This window comes from Homo sapiens, chromosome 16 (genome assembly GCF_000001405.40).
Source record: "Homo sapiens chromosome 16, GRCh38.p14 Primary Assembly".
NCBI classification, from domain to species: Eukaryota; Metazoa; Chordata; class Mammalia; order Primates; family Hominidae; genus Homo; species Homo sapiens.
This window is the reverse complement of record NC_000016.10, coordinates 18516777-18532301: the sequence shown is the minus strand read 5'-3', so window position 1 is coordinate 18532301 and position 15525 is coordinate 18516777. Positions and strand designations below refer to the sequence as shown.

Genomic DNA, 15525 nt, shown 5'->3' with positions numbered 1-15525 from the left:
TAGGGCAAAGTGGGGTCCCTCCCTCTGTGGGAAACAGGGTAGGAGATTGCGTTCTCCCTGCTTCCACAGAACAGCGTGGTGTGTGGGTTGACAGCTGCCTTTATTAGATGGTAGCTGGCTTCTTGCGAAGATGTCCACATTGACAAGTCTTTGGAAGCCCTTTCGGAAGCATGATGGACTTCTCCAAGGAAGGGCAGTGTCGTCTTTACTAGGGATGAAAGAGTTGACCGCTGCTACCTTCACCTGTTCCTCTTCTTAGCCCATGAAAGGCACGCAGAACAATAGGAGGAAGAAAATGACTTAATTCCACCAAAGTGTCATCCACATAGTGTTAACAGGTTCAGAGCTTATGCTACAAGTGATCCGAAGCCGGGAAAAGTGACTGGGATGTAGTATGGTTTCTAGTATGTAAGTGAGGCGTGTCCGCGTTGCGGGCCTGTGGGGAATTAGGCCAGATAGACTTTTGTTCATACACATCGGTCTGTTGAGGCTAATTTTTCATCTGGGTAGAACTGTGCTTACTTCACACAAGTTATTCGTGGATTTGTTGTGATTGTAAAATTGGCCTGGAAACGAACCTTTGGCCTTCAAAATCTCTTTAGCCTTAGTCCCAGATGAATGTTCTAGCGCCCTGTAGGTCAGGGGGAAGATCTCCCCGAATGCAGCCTCTAACGTTCCATCCACGTTTCCGCAGGTGATGGTTCCTGAGGCAGAAACCAGAGCAGGGCTGACGTTGAAACCCCAGACATTTCCTCTTACTGTGACCGACAGGCCCGTGATGGATGTGGCCTTTGTACAGTTCTTGGCATCAGTTTCTGGGAAAGTCTCTTGTTTGGGTAAGATATCACTGGAAAGTAAGAACACATAGTTTCAAAGAAGTCAGCCAGTAGGAGTGGGATTTGGGAAACTTTTCCTTTTGCCTTTGTTGTTTGCTACTGATCACCTGCGTGCGAGGGAGGCTTCTTGGAGTCAAGTGGGTGCATGTTAGCTTGAAAGAAGCACTCCGTCTGCCTCCGGCCACTGCCTCTTAGGAGCTCAGCAGTAGCAAGAAGCTATTACATAGGGTTAGGATTCGAACCTGTGCTGAAGCCTTATAAGGGGTCACATGGAGCCCTCCCTTCTTTTCCCTGCAGACACCTGTGGTGACTTGCTGGTGACTCTACAGTCCCTGAGCCGCCAGGGTGAGAAGCGGAGCCTCCAGCTCTCCGGCAAGGTCAACGCCATGACTTTCACCTTTGACAACGTGCTCCCTGGAAAATACAAAAGTAAGAATTGGAATGCAACATCCTGTGGCCCTCACACACTTCTTGTCTTTGTAAACTTTCTAAAACTCAGGTCTCAAATTGTATCACGACCATGTACCTTTCCTTGTTTTAAGTCGTCTTTGCCTCGTGACCTTGACTGCATTATTTAGCGTTGGACAAGCATGGAGGAGTCCAGGCCCTGAGCTGACCGCCACCTTGTCTGCACAGCCCACTGGCGGCTTCTGTTAAGGGAGGGTGCCCCGACGTATGGCATTTTATTTCTAAAGCCCAGAGAAAGGAGTGTGAAATAGTTCCACTGATGTGTTCTACTAACTTAGCAGTACTGGTGCTGAGTACTGGCCATGGCAAGGTACTTGACCTCCCTGAAACTCAGTTTTCCCATCTGTAAAATAGACGTAATGGAACCTTTCTGCAGAATATAAGACTAAAAGAAGTAAAGTTTATAAAGCCCGTTGTGCAGAGAGCCAGCTAAGTAGCTGGTGCCCACAAATGTTACTTCCCTTTTCCTTGCCCTTCTTAAGAAGCCACTTCTTGCCTGTATTTCTGCTTTTTCAGAAATCAGCTTGGGGCTGCTGGCAGTGGATAGCTCATAAAACAGACTGCTTTTTCTGGAATTATATTAATATTTTCTGTTATGGCAGGGCTTGGCAGACTACAAAAACTGCCTTTTATAAGCGTAGTTTCCTTAGAATACAGCCTTGCCCATTTGTTTATGGATTCTCTATGGCTGCTCGTGTGTAACAGTGGCCAAGTCGAGTGGTTGAGGCTGACAAAGCATGTGGCCTGCAAAACTGAAAAGAGTTACAGAAAAAGTTTGTGGATCCCTGAATACCTTACTTGCAGCCTGATCTTACAGGCCCCATTAGATTTCTTTCTTGATGTAATGGAAATTGGTTCCAGTTTTTCTTTCTTTTTTTTTGAAATTTAGCCTCGCTCTGTCACCCAGGCCGGAGTGTGGTGGCGCGACCTTGGCTCACTGCAACCTCTCCGCCTTCTGGGTGCAGGAGATTCTCTTGCCTCAGCTTCCCGAGTAGCTGGGATTACAGGCATGCACCACCATGCCTGGATCACTTTTGTATTTTTAGTAGAGATGGGGTTTTGCTATGTTGGTCAGACTGGTCTTGAACTCCTGGCTTCAAGCCATCCAACTGCCGTCAGCCTCCCAGAGTGCTGGGATTATAGGCATGAGCCACCACGCTCGACTCCAGGTTTTCTTTAGCAGTAATTTATTCCAAATACTGCTAGTTATAAATATATGTATGTGTATATTTCTATCTTTATGTCTACATACACACCTGCTTTTTAAAATTAGTTAATTCATGATCATTGTTTCTGGTGGCGTGCAGGGAGGTGGTGTGCTCCACGCCCATGTATCCGTTTTTGGTGTTTGCTTTTGCAGTAAGCATCATGCATGAGGATTGGTGCTGGAAGAACAAGAGCCTGGAGGTGGAAGTGCTGGAGGATGACGTGTCTGCAGTTGAGTTCAGGCAGACGGGCTACATGCTGAGATGTTCCCTGTCTCACGCCATCACTCTGGTATGTACGGCTTATGGAGTCTCTTATTTGGAAAAGCGCTCGCCTTGTGGATGTCAAGAAAGACTAACATCCCAGGAATATTGTAAACGTAGGCAAGTCAGATTTCCTTTTCTGCCTCTCCACTCGCCCACCTGTTACGCAACGCATAATCAGGAAGCATTTATACTCTCTCAGTGGAAGGACCCCTGTATTTAGGAGGTTTCCTTGTCCTGGCCCTACACTAAATCTGACTGGTGATTCGGGGTGACCTTTGGTACAGTGCAGAGCACACTGGCTTTATATTATTAGTAATAATAGCTTCGGGTAAATTCATTTACTGCTTCTCAGCCTCAGTTTTCACCGAAAATTGAGATCTTAATACCTACTTCTCAGGGTTATGGCAGGGCTTAAGTGAACCCTCTTAGGTATCAAAGTGTCCTTGGTGTACACCGCTCTGTACTGCCAAGTGAGTTTCTCTGATATATATATATATATATATATATATATATATATATATATATATATATATGTATTTTTTTTTTTTTTTTTTTTTTGAGATGGAGTCTTGCTCTGTTGCCCAGGCTGGAGTGCAGTGGCGCAATCTCGGCTCACTGAAACCTCCGCCTCCCGAGTTCAAGCGATTCTCCTGCTTCAGCCCCCCGAGTAGCTGGGACTAGAGGTGCGTGCCGCCATGCTCAGCTTTTTTTTTCTTTTTTTTTTGTATTTTTGTTAGAGACAGAGTTCCACCATGTTGGCCAGACTGGTCTTAAAACTCCTGACCTCAGGGGATCCACCTGTGTTGGCCTCGCAGAGTGCTAGGATTACAGGCGTGAGCCATTGTGCCCCACCTTCTCTGGTGTATTTGTTCCAGCGCAGGGGAAGAAGCTGTAAACAGGATCTTAGCTTCTTGTTGATTGTGGTCTCTGTGGCCTGAAAGGCAGTGTGAAATGGGTTTCAGGAGCACCTCTGTAGATCCCTTCGTGAATTTTCTATAATGTTTTGATGTTGAGTGGCGGCAGATGTCATCGTCAGGTCTTAGTTTCTCTGTAGAGAAACTAGAAGAATTGGAACTGGTGTTTCATGTGCCAACTTACTCCCCTAACTGCTTAATTACAAAAACTTGACAGGTCGATTTGTTATAGGAGATCGATTAATATCCGGTTCATAATAAGTGATAGATATTTAGGAAACCTTTCCCTTCCAGCAGTGGAGTGGATTTCCAGCTCTCTTGTAATAAGATCCTTTTTTTTTTTTTTTTTGACACTTCCTTAACCCCTTCTTTATCTCCTCCCACTGTCCCCTCACTCGCCGGGCCCCAGCCACAGTGGTCCTCTGCAGTCCCACACCAAGCTCACTCCCTCCTCGGGGCCTTTGCACATACTCTCCCCTCTGCCTGGAGTGCTGTGTCTTCTCCAGAAACACGTGTTGTTGGTTTTTCCTCCTCATTCAGGCGCAGCCCTATTGTTCAGGAGAGATGTGCCCTGGGACCAGCGAGCTAAAGACCCCTAGGTGGGGATTGTTCTTCTCTTGCTTTCCTGTTTATTTTCACAGCTTCGTTACTGACCAGTTGAGATCACTAATTTATTTGTTGATGCGTTGATTTTGTCTTCCTGTATTAGAACATAAGCCCTGTGAGAGCAGGAGCCATGGTCATGACTCCCAAGGCCCAGCCTTGTGTCTGTCACATAGCAGGTGCTCAATAAATATTAGTTGATTGAATGAAAAATAGCACACTTTTGTTGGAAGTTTTGGGAGGTTTTTAATTTTCCTGTGGCACCCAACTGCTCCAATGATTAATGGGCAAAACAGATGACTGGTTTGGAAAGAGAAATATTATTAATCATCTTGGTGTCTCCATCTCTCTTAGTAAGTCATTGTATTGGCTTTGCTCCCTTAGGAATTTTATCAGGATGGAAATGGGCGTGAGAATGTGGGGATTTATAACCTCTCCAAAGGAGTCAACCGATTCTGCCTGTCCAAGCCTGGTAAGTTTGGAAGGATTGATGTGCCATGAATTAGAAAAATGGAAAGGCACCAGAGGATGGTTTTGAAGGCATTTTTTTCTACCTTAGTTCTGTTTGCATCAAGCTTTCAATTTCTGTGTGTTCAACCTGCTCTTGTTTTTCTGTCTGTCTTGGGTTTGAGTTGGGTAGACACCACTGGGCCCTTTCACCTCCAAAAATATACCATTGGCCAATGGCCTCTCTTTATAGAGCTGTTTTAAAATTGGAATCATTTCCCACTTTGCTTAAAATCTTTCAGTGGCTTCTCGCTCTTTCTCATTTTTTTTTCTCTTTTTTTTTTTTGAGATGGAGTCTTGCTCTGTCACCCAGGCTGGAGTGTAGTGGCTTGATCTTGGCTCACTGCAGCCTCCGCCTCCTGGGTTCAAGCGATTCCCCTGCCTCAGCCTCTCGAGAAGCTGGGATTACAGGTGCCCACCACCACATCCGGCTAATTTTTGTATTTTTAGTAGGGATGGGTTTCACCACATTGTCCAGGCTGGTCTCAAACTCCTGACCTAAAGTGATCCGCCCGCCTCAGCCTCCCAAAGTGCTGGGATTACAGGTGTGAGCTGCTGCACCCAACCTTCTCTCTCTTTTATAATGGATTTTTTTGGAGGCAGAATTTGCATATCGTAAAACTCACCTATTTAAGATGTACAATAAAATGATTTGTAGTAAATTTATCAAGTTGCACAACCACGGCCAGAATCCAGTTTTAGATTTGTTCATCACCCACAATGTAAGATCCTCTGTGCCCATTGACAGTTAATCCCTGTTTCTAGCCATGGCCAGCCACTGATCTATTTTCTGTCCCCATGGATTGGCTTTTTTTGGACGTTTATCATACGATGCTGGTATTTTGTTTGGCTTCTTTTATTTAACATGTTTTTGAAGTTTATCTGTGTCATGGCACATATCAGTAGTTTGTTCTGTTACATTGCTGTGTAGTATTCTGGTGTGTGGTTATATCATATTTTGTGTATCCATTTATCAGTTGGTGGATATTTGAGTGGTTTCCAGTTTGACGCTGTTATGACTAATGTTACGGACATTCTTGTACAAGTCTTTGTGTCCGTATGTTTTCATTTTTCTTGTTTCGATACCTAGGAATGGAATTGCTGCATTGTGTAATAAATTTATGTTTAACCTTTTAAGAAACTGTCAAATTGTTTTCCACAGAGGCTGTGTCATTTGATATTCCCACCAGCAATGCACGAGGGTTCCGGTTTCTTCACCTCCTTCGCCAACATTTGTTATTGTCTGTTTTATTATAGTCATCTTGGTAGATGTGAAGTTGTGTCTCATGGTGGTTTTGTTTTGCATTTTCCTAATGAATAATTCAGTGGCTCCTCTGTTTGGTTCCCAAGATAAAATACAAACTCCTTAACCTGATCTTAGCTCCTGTGTAACCCAGCCCTGTCTGCCACTGTCTCTACTCCAGCCACTCTGTCCTTCTGGGTGTCAGTTCAGCTGCCTTTGGCTACATGTAACAAAATCCATACAGCAGTGCCATCGGCAAGTGGTAGTTTATTTGGCTCAATAAAGAAGTGTGGCAGTGCGTGGCTGCCAGCATGGGTTCAGCAGCTGGTAGATGTTAGGGGTGGTGTCTTTGTGATTCTTTAGGCCTTTCCCTTCTATTTTTTGCCTTGTATTTTCAAGATGGCTGTTGTTAGAAAACTTATGTTTAAAGGAGAAAGTCAAGGAGAGGGCAGGCAAACATTTCCTTGCGCCCCCTCCTCCAGTAAGCTACTTGTCTGTATTATTGGCCAGAACCGTGCCACATGGTTACTTCTAGCTGCAAGGGAGGCTGGGACAGTTGGATGTGCTACCCGAGGCTGAGCACGTTGCCACCCTCAACATAACCAGGGTTTGTTCTCAAGGCAGGAAGGATGCCTGTTGAGGAAACAATGAGCCAGCCTGTGAGGCAGATGCTGTTCTCTGTGGACATGTCCTCCTGCCCCTCCTAGCTGGGGCCTTCTTACCCATCAGTTCAGTATTGCTTCCCTGGGGAAGGATGGCCTCCAGGGCCACTTAGGCCTGCCTCCTACACTCTTGCTCTCAGCACTCACTTCTATCCCCTTCTTGCATGTGCCACAATTGATATGTTTGTGGCTGTCAAATGCTCCCCCTCTCTGTGGATGGTAAACTCCATGAAGACAGGGACCACTGCTCTGTCATTCCCCACTGTGTACCAGTACCTAGCATAATACCTGGCCAGGAAGAGGTGCTCTGTCGATATTTGTTGAATGAAAGACCAAACAAAACAAACAGAGAAACCTGATTTTTTTTTTTTTTTGATGGTAACTACTCTGGGGCTTGTTGAGTGCAATGAAAACAGCAGGGTGGTTTTAGCTAATTTCAGGTTTTTGTAGGAAGTGTGGCCAAAATATTGGTTAATGATGATTTGGGGGAAATACATTGTTATTCCTTGTATCTTCCTGAAATTGACTGTGTTCCTCTGGCAAGTGATGAAATGTACCCCTACTCGGAGTGTCCTCCCACACAGACTCACACTTTTCTGGGGCTTCCCTTACTCCTTACCTCCTTTTTAGGAATATTTATAGGAAGAAATTGAGGCTGTGGTTATCTCTTGGATCCTTAATAGAATCTTTTAAGTAGGAAATTATCCTCAGTCCAATTTGCAGTAGAAACGTACTTTCTGTTCCTTCTCGTGCATGGGTCCGTTCACCTGGTCTGTGCAGATTTAACTACTGTGAGTTGTTACCTTATGGAAAATGAAAATCATGCGCCTGTGATCGGGCCATTGCATGGATCGGGTCATTGGTAAGACGCCTTCATAGGCAGTGAAAACGATGCCTGCCCAGTATTTCTGATCCCATTATTGCAGATCTGCGATACGTTTGAGTTTTCACATGCAAAGAGCTGCCACTCGATTTCAGATGTCGGAATTGCTCAGTGTAATAGATGCCATTCTCTGAAAATTACTTTTGATTTCCTGTCTGTAGGTGTGTACAAAGTGACCCCTCGCTCCTGCCACCGGTTTGAGCAAGCGTTCTACACCTATGACACGTAAGCCTGGGAATTGAATGCTTTGTGGTGTTTGTATACATTCCGTGGAGGATTCTTCATTTACTTCAGAGAACAAAAGGAGTTTTTCTGTTTTTTTTTCTGAAAGAGGCAAGGTTAGGCCTTCAACAGCATTTCTAGATAAGGATTTTAAGACACTTGGATTAGTTACTGAGGAACCGGAGACAGGATCCCTTTCCCAAGAATTCTGTAACCCCAGGATAGAGGGCTGTGTTTTTGAAGTGCCTTAAATAGAAGCTTTGTCAAATCTCCCAGCCCTCACCGATGGGCATCTGTCAAGTTCAAGTCTGCCATTTTTGTATTTTTACAGACGTGTGTGGGTTTCACTGGGAATTGGAAGCATAAAGTTGTGGAGTGGAGAATTAGTTTACTCTTTAAAATACTTCTCTGGATCTCCAGAGTTATTTTACCCCAGACTAAAAGCAATTTTCTGTAGTATATTTAGGGTGAAGAAGGATGCCCAAAAAGGGTATTGCTGATGATCTTCTGAGAATGAGTAGGTTCTAGCGTTTCCTCTGCTTTGATTTGTAGGTCTTCACCTAGTATCTTGACATTGACAGCCATTCGCCACCATGTCCTTGGAACTATCACCACCGACAAAATGATGGATGTCACTGTGACTATCAAGTAAGATGAGCGTTCTGCAGTGGGCCGAGAGTGGCGGGAGAGGGTGTGGATGAGGCCTGGGGAGTCTCTAATAGGCTCTCTGGAAATTAGTTTTGATTTCTTATCTCTAGATGTATATACAAATGGCCTTCCCTCTCTTATAGGACATTGCCGTCAATTCCCAGCAGCCTTGATCCTTTCCTTTTCTGATTCAGAAATTACCTGTGGGTGAGGAAGAGCGTTGCGACAGCTTGTTTCAGTGTCTTCAATTTCTGTTTGAACTCTTTGTACTTCTCATCTTTGCTAAGGAAAAAAAAAATCTCTGGGGTTTGTGCATTGTATTTCAAGTGTTTTAGCAAATTCAAATTGCCTATTTTTCTTTAGACTTTTGCTTGAAGGCTTGGGAAATAGAGATGGCACCTGGTATAAGAGAAGGGTCGTGAGAGAGGAAGTATTTGAAAGGCAAGTCCCTCACCGAAGGTCACGTTCATGTGAATGTCACCTTTCAGGGAATTTTTGCAGTGTGGTGAGGTACCTGTGACGCCCCAATTTTCTTGAGAAATGAAAGAGTTTTGGCAACATGACCGTCTCTGTCAAGTAGAATGGGCATTGCAGTCCCTGTCTCCCTCCTGCCCCTGGTTGAAGTCACCTTTCCAGCTATGTTTCCATCTTTCTGTCCACCATCTGTTTATCCATCCGTCATCCCTGCAGAGTACATGATGACTGAAAAACTGAGAGTCTTCAGTGTTTAGGCACTGGGCTTATGAGGCCACAGCCCCTACACTTATGGGATTGACAGTCTCATGGGGGGAACAGTGGTCAGATACTCACATGCAGAACCGTAAAATGACAACTGTTCTGAGTGCTTTGAGCTTGACCTTGGGGGCATGCAGGACAGGTAGGCTGCGGGGGGCCAGGCCATGTTAAGGTCCATAGTCTTTGTCCCATGATGCAATTGACATGTTTTACATAGAGGAATGACATTTTTCTTCCTGAAGGTCCCCCTATTGGCCGAGTGGAGAACAGACAGAAGAGGCCTGAGAGTGGGAGGTGGTGGAGGCAGGGGGAGGCAATGGGGGCCCCAGACTAGTGGCTGCGGAGATGGAGAGCGACGGACTGGTCGGAGAGTCGTTGAGGGACTGAGTTGATGAGACATGGCACTAAAGTGACCACTGGGTTAGGGCGGGAGAAATGTCAGGGCTGGCCCTGGTTTCTGGTGATGGGGAGCCAGGTTTTTAGCTGGGGGTGGATTTGCTGAAGGTCTGTTGCTGTCTTTTACTATCATTTACTGTCTCCCTGCTTGGAAAGTATGAATTACTGATAGGACTAGCAATCTACCTTCTTACCAGTAGTAACTGCATGTTACCTCCTTTCAGCTTGATTACATTCATTTTTGTAACTTCACAAGGGTGTTTGTGTTGCTTGCTTGTGCCGGAGGTTGTATGGAATGCATCTTCCAGCTAGACAGAGCCACTCGGATTCCCCTGGGAATCGTGTACTCAGCAGACCCAAAACCCGACTGCTGACAGTTGCCCTCCATGAGCCCCTCTGTGGTCTTTTCTGATTCAGATATGGCAGCTCCCGCTTTCTCCTTGTTTCTTGATTCTTATTTCCCTTGAACCCTAGGCCCAGCCAATTCCCCAACAAAGCCTTGGCTTTACAATCAAAATACACCCATCATCTAGTCCCTTTTTACCACTTGGCCCTCAGCCTTGGTCTGACCCCCCTCTGGGGTCACTGTAGCAGCTTCCCAGCTGGCCTTCCCTTCTTACCACGTGGCCCTCAGCCCTGGTCTGACCCCCTCCGGGATCACTGCAGCAGCTTCCCAGCTGGGCTTTGCTTCTTACCACGTGGCCCTCAGCCCTAGTCTGACCCCCTCTGGGATCATTGCAGCAGCTTCCCAGCTGGCCTTCCCTTCTCACCACGTGGCCCTCAGCCCTGGTCTGACCCCCCTCTGGGATCACTGCAGCAGCTTCTCAGCTGGCCTTCCTGTTTCCGCCATTGCTTTGTGTATTTTCCATGAAGGAGCGAACGATTTCTTTTATCATACCATTCCTCGACTGAAAACTCCAGTGGCTCCAGGTCGGCACCAAGCCTGTGAAGCCTCAGTCTGACATCTGCTGCCCCTTGGACCTCTCTGTTGGATATGACTCTTCCGTGGGCCCCTGTGCCCCAGGCTGGACTGGTGTTGCCATTGCTTGAACATCTGAGTGAGCTTTCTCTCCAAGGACTTTGCACTTGGCATCGCTTTGCCCAAGCTACTGTTTACCCAGAGAGCTGCGTGGCGCATTCTCTCCCTTCCTTCAGACCTTTGCTCAATGTCACCTTATCAGAAAGGCCTTGACTGTCCCTTTAATGTAAAACAGTGCTCCGGGCTCTCCGTCTTCCCACACTGCTTTATTTTTCTTTATTGCACTTTTCCTCTGGTATTATTTTTCTCTTTATTTTCAGCCCCTTCCCACTGAAACGTGGATTCCACAGGGGTAGGAAGTGTGGTCTGTTTTGTTGATGCTGTATCCTTGGTGCCTAGTTCTCTATCAGAGCAGTTCTCAGCGAAGGTAGAATGGAGAACAGAGGATGGTGGTGTGGAGAAAACTCCGTGTCCTACATGGAAGCTACAAGCTTATATCCAGTCGCCATAAAATCAACCGTATTTCATTCCAGCCCAGATCTACCAGATACTGCCACCATCACTGCGAAGCTCAGTTGTTATTTTTTGTGAAACTACTAGTTTATTTAAAACAGAAGACTCCGCCACTGTGGTGTCATGATAAGATGTCCAGTTTGTAACTCGCAAGTCCATACTCGTAGAAAGGTCAAATTCCCACTGACCACAAGGATACGCAACCACGTCCTAGGGGCCGCCATTTCTTTCTTCTAGGTCTTCCATCGACAGTGAACCCGCCTTGGTCTTAGGCCCTCTGAAGTCTGTGCAGGAGCTGCGGAGGGAGCAGCAGCTGGCTGAGATCGAGGCCCGCAGGCAGGAGAGGGAGAAAAACGGCAATGAGGAAGGTGAAGAAAGAATGACCAAGCCTCCCGTGCAGGAGATGGTAGATGAGTTACAAGGCCCCTTCTCGTATGATTTCTCTTACTGGGCGCGGTAAGCTCTCTTGTGCGTTTCCCTACAGTGTCCTCTGTTTTGTGGGGACAGGACCCGCCAAACTGAAGTATATTAATTATTTTAGGTCTGGAGAGAAAATCACTGTTACACCGTCATCTAAAGAGCTGCTCTTTTATCCCCCTTCAATGGAAGCCGTTGTCAGTGGAGGTAAATGTCAACTCAGCGAGCGAATGTCACACACACCTTTGCAGTTGTTCCCTTGCCTGCATTTACAAGTAGATTTGTGATGTTATAGTGAAGCCATCTTTGTAAGCCACCTTACATCCTCTCTGGCACACAGATGTTACTGTTGGTTGGATGGATGGATGGATGGATGGATGGATGGATGGTTGGGTTGGATGGATGGATGGATGGATGGATGGATGGATGGATGAATGAATGATTTAGATAAATAAAAGTAACTTTTGCTGTTAGAATTGAGTTGATCTTTTTGGAAAAGGACTTGGTTTTCTTTGACATTATCAGGTCGACACCAGAAGGTAGATGAAGCACAAAGCTGCCAGTGATGATCTTTAATGATCTTTCTGTTGTTTGGCAGAGCATGATGGGAGGGTCTTTTTTTGGGGAATGGATGACTGAAGTGATCACTTGTGGAGTATTTGTCTTTTGCCACTTATTATTTTTTTCCCAGCACTCTGGCTTCGTTAAGTTGTGGGTGTTATGTGGTTCGCGTTTGGAAGCAGAGGGTGTTGAAGAGCGTGACTTCTAGCAGGCAGGCTGTTTGGGGCGGTCTTTCTCAGTGGGTCCTCCAGAGGCTGAGCAGCACGGCCTCCTGTCTGCTGTAAAGTGTTCCCTCCTGATCTGTGGCCTCCTGAGAACCTAGGAAGAGTAGTAGTAAAAACCCAGCCTTCAGCGTTTTTTGATTCTCTTGCTAAAGTCCTTCACACTGAGAAAGGCCTTTCAGGGATGGAAAGAGGCTTGGGCTGTATCCGATTATTGAGCTCCCCGGGGTGTTAAATAACCGCATTTGGAACTAGCTTCTAAGATCTGTTTTAGCCACTTTTGTCATGGGAAACCCCCAACCAAGAAGCTCCTGTCTCTGCTACCAAGCCCCATCCTTGTGTTTATTTCTTCCCCTCTTAGAAAGCTGCCCAGGGAAGCTGATCGAGATCCACGGGAAGGCAGGCCTGTTTTTAGAAGGCCAGATCCACCCCGAGTTGGAAGGAGTCGAGATTGTCATCAGTGAAAAGGGGGCAAGTTCACCGCTGATCACAGTCTTTACTGATGACAAAGGTGCCTACAGGTGAGCCCGGGATAGAGACACATTTGCCTGGGATCAGCGTGGGAGTCCTCTGAAGAAACTGGGGCCCACATTTCCTTGGGCTTGGTAAGGCTTCCTGCAGGGTGTGAACAAAGCCGTTGCTAGCATTCTGCTCTCTCCTCTTCAGTGTTGGCCCCCTGCACAGTGACCTGGAGTACACGGTGACCTCACAGAAGGAGGGCTATGTTCTGACTGCAGTGGAAGGAACCATCGGAGACTTCAAGGCCTATGCCCTGGCAGGCGTAAGCTTTGAGGTAACTAACACTGTATTTTCAAAAGGCAGTTATACTGAGGTATAATTAACATATAATAAACTGCACAAAAAGGGTACAGTGTGGTAGTCTTGACCTAGGAATACACCCATGAAAACACCTCCACAATTAAAATAGCACATCTGTGGCCCTCAAGGTTTCCTCCTGCCCCTTGGTAATCCCTCCCTGCCACCCTTCCGCTGAGCTGATGATCTGCTTTTCATCACCATTGGTTAGTTTGCATTTTCGAGTTTTTATAGGTTGGTGCAAAAGTGATTGTGGTTTTTGCCATTGAGAATAATGGCAGAAACCGCAATCACTTTTGCACCAACCTGTATATAAATGGAATCAAACAGGATATACTGTTGTTTTTTTTTTTTTTTTGGTCTGACTTCTTTCACGTAGCATAATTTGGAGAGCTGTTGACTTTAGCATGTTTGTGTACCTTCTGGGAAGTAGTTAAAGCTGTCATCCATAACTGTTCCATTTTGAAGGACACAGAATGTTCTTACTGAGGCGTTTGCTGCCTAGCTCCCTTCCACCGGTCCTTTCTGGGAAGAAGCGTGCTGCGATTGTACAGAGTGGGTCTGGAGATCGTTGAGAATGAATATTTATAAACTATAGGCCAAAGGAAAAGAGTGACAGATTACATCGCATAAAAATTTAAAATTCTATATTGCTGAATACATTTGGAACCAAACTGAAAGATATTCAAACTCGGAAGAAATGTTTGTATCATAAATAATATCCCCATTTTACAAGGAGCTCCTAAAATTGGTAAGAAAAAGACAACCCACTAGAAAAAAAATGAACAAAGATTATGAAAAGGAAATTCATGGAAGTAACGCAGGTGACTAATAAACACAGAAACACAAAGCCTCTGTAGTTACTGAGGAAATGTGCTAAGGAAGTTACAGTCGAAACACTGTTTTGCAGGGATTAGATTTGCTGTAATTAAGACAATCTCTATTTTTTGGTAAGTGTGGGTTTTCCCAAGCATAAATAATTTATGGGACTGTAAGTGGTTACAGCCACTTTGGAATGCAATTAGATAGTATCTTTCTGAATTTAAAGTGCATGTATCCAACAATTCTACTTCTAGGAATGGATTGTTCAGGAAATAAAACTAAGTGCCTAGAGATACATATTTGGGGATATTCCAATTGTCTCTTGTGTACCACAAGAGTAGGTGCTGTGGTTTGTCAAACCCTGCCTTAGAATGCTATGCAGTAGTTAAGAAACAGGCAGATTTCTATTGGCTGGCAGAAGAGAACCAGGATAAATTGTTGAGGAAGAGAGCAAGTTGCAGAACTGTACATATAACATGCCATTTTTATTTCACCTCCTCCACCCACTCAATGAACTTGCCAGTCTGTGAACAATAATATGTAATGTTTATAAAATTTGTGTGGGCATAGAAAGAGTTCTGGGCGGGGCACGGTGGCTCATGCCTCTAATCCCAGCACTTTGGGAGGCCCAGGCATGTGGATTGCTTGAGCCCAGTAGTTTGAGATCAGCCTGGGCAACGTGGCAAGACCCGTCTCTATAAAAAATACAGAAATGTAGTTGGGCATGGTGGTGTGCGCCTATAGTCCCATCTCCTCAGGAGGTTAAAGCTGAAGGATTGCTTGAGCTTGGGAGGCGAAGGTTGTAGTGAGCCCAGGTTGTGCCACTGCACTCCAGCCTGGGTGACAGAGCAAGACCCTGTCTCAAAAAAAAAAAAAAAAAAAGTTCTAGAAGGCTACACACCAAACTTACAAAACTTACAACAGTAGTTACCTGTGGGGAGGAAGATTAGGTCCCCTGTCCTCCTTTGAGTAACAATAAAAGAAAAAAACCTTGAAAAAATGACCTCTTGACTTGTGGAACTGTTATTTTCATAGTTAGTAGGAGTTTAACCTTGCTCTGGTCTCACCTTCTCATCCCCAGATAAAAGCTGAGGATGACCAGCCCCTCCCGGGAGTCCTCTTATCCCTGAGTGGTGGCCTGTTTCGTTCCAACCTCTTGACCCAGGACAACGGCATTCTGACATTCTCAAACCTGGTAACGTGTTCTGCAATTTACCACCTGCCTGTCTTCCCTGAGAGAGAGCCAGGATGCAGCATGCGAGACTTATGTGTTGCTTGACAACGTGAGAAGAGAAGGCCAATGTGGAGTGGTTTCAGTTTCTTGGGGGCCCACGGTCATTAGAGTATTGCTCTTACTCGAACTTAATGCTGCTGATTCATGTTCCCTTCCACACGCGCTTCTTGTTTTCTGATCACCCGCTTGTCACTAAGACAGTGTAATTAATTTCCCTGGCCACAACGGCTGCTCTCTTAGGCGTCTTCTCGTTTTGCCACAGAATCATGTTTATGATGCTGAGTCTTGTTTGGTGGTTAGCTTGCGTTTCTTCTGAAAAGACATTCCACTTGGTGGGAAGAGAGCAGCAGTTTTTCTTTCAAGATGCAGTCGG

The 15525-nt window shown here is 45.6% G+C and overlaps 1 protein-coding gene across 3 annotated transcripts in view; it reads left to right on the top strand.

Annotated features, from left to right (window-relative positions):
* Window positions 1–15525, top strand: part of NOMO2 (NODAL modulator 2) — a 62186-nt gene that overhangs the window by 29811 nt on the left and 16850 nt on the right. For 2 of the 3 annotated variants that reach the window (NM_001004060.2, NM_173614.4), the window contains exons 13-23: window positions 695–836; window positions 1134–1265; window positions 2665–2801; window positions 4678–4765; window positions 7750–7813; window positions 8363–8458; window positions 11319–11537; window positions 11623–11705; window positions 12642–12801; window positions 12947–13073; window positions 15000–15113. In NM_001004060.2, coding sequence (NP_001004060.1) covers window positions 695–836; window positions 1134–1265; window positions 2665–2801; window positions 4678–4765; window positions 7750–7813; window positions 8363–8458; window positions 11319–11537; window positions 11623–11705; window positions 12642–12801; window positions 12947–13073; window positions 15000–15113 — 1362 coding nt within the window. Of the gene's footprint in view, window positions 1–694; window positions 837–1133; window positions 1266–2664; window positions 2802–4230; window positions 4766–7749; window positions 7814–8362; window positions 8459–11318; window positions 11538–11622; window positions 11706–12641; window positions 12802–12946; window positions 13074–14999; window positions 15114–15525 lie in introns of those variants that run through there. The other variant, XM_017023156.3, reaches the window with a different exon arrangement.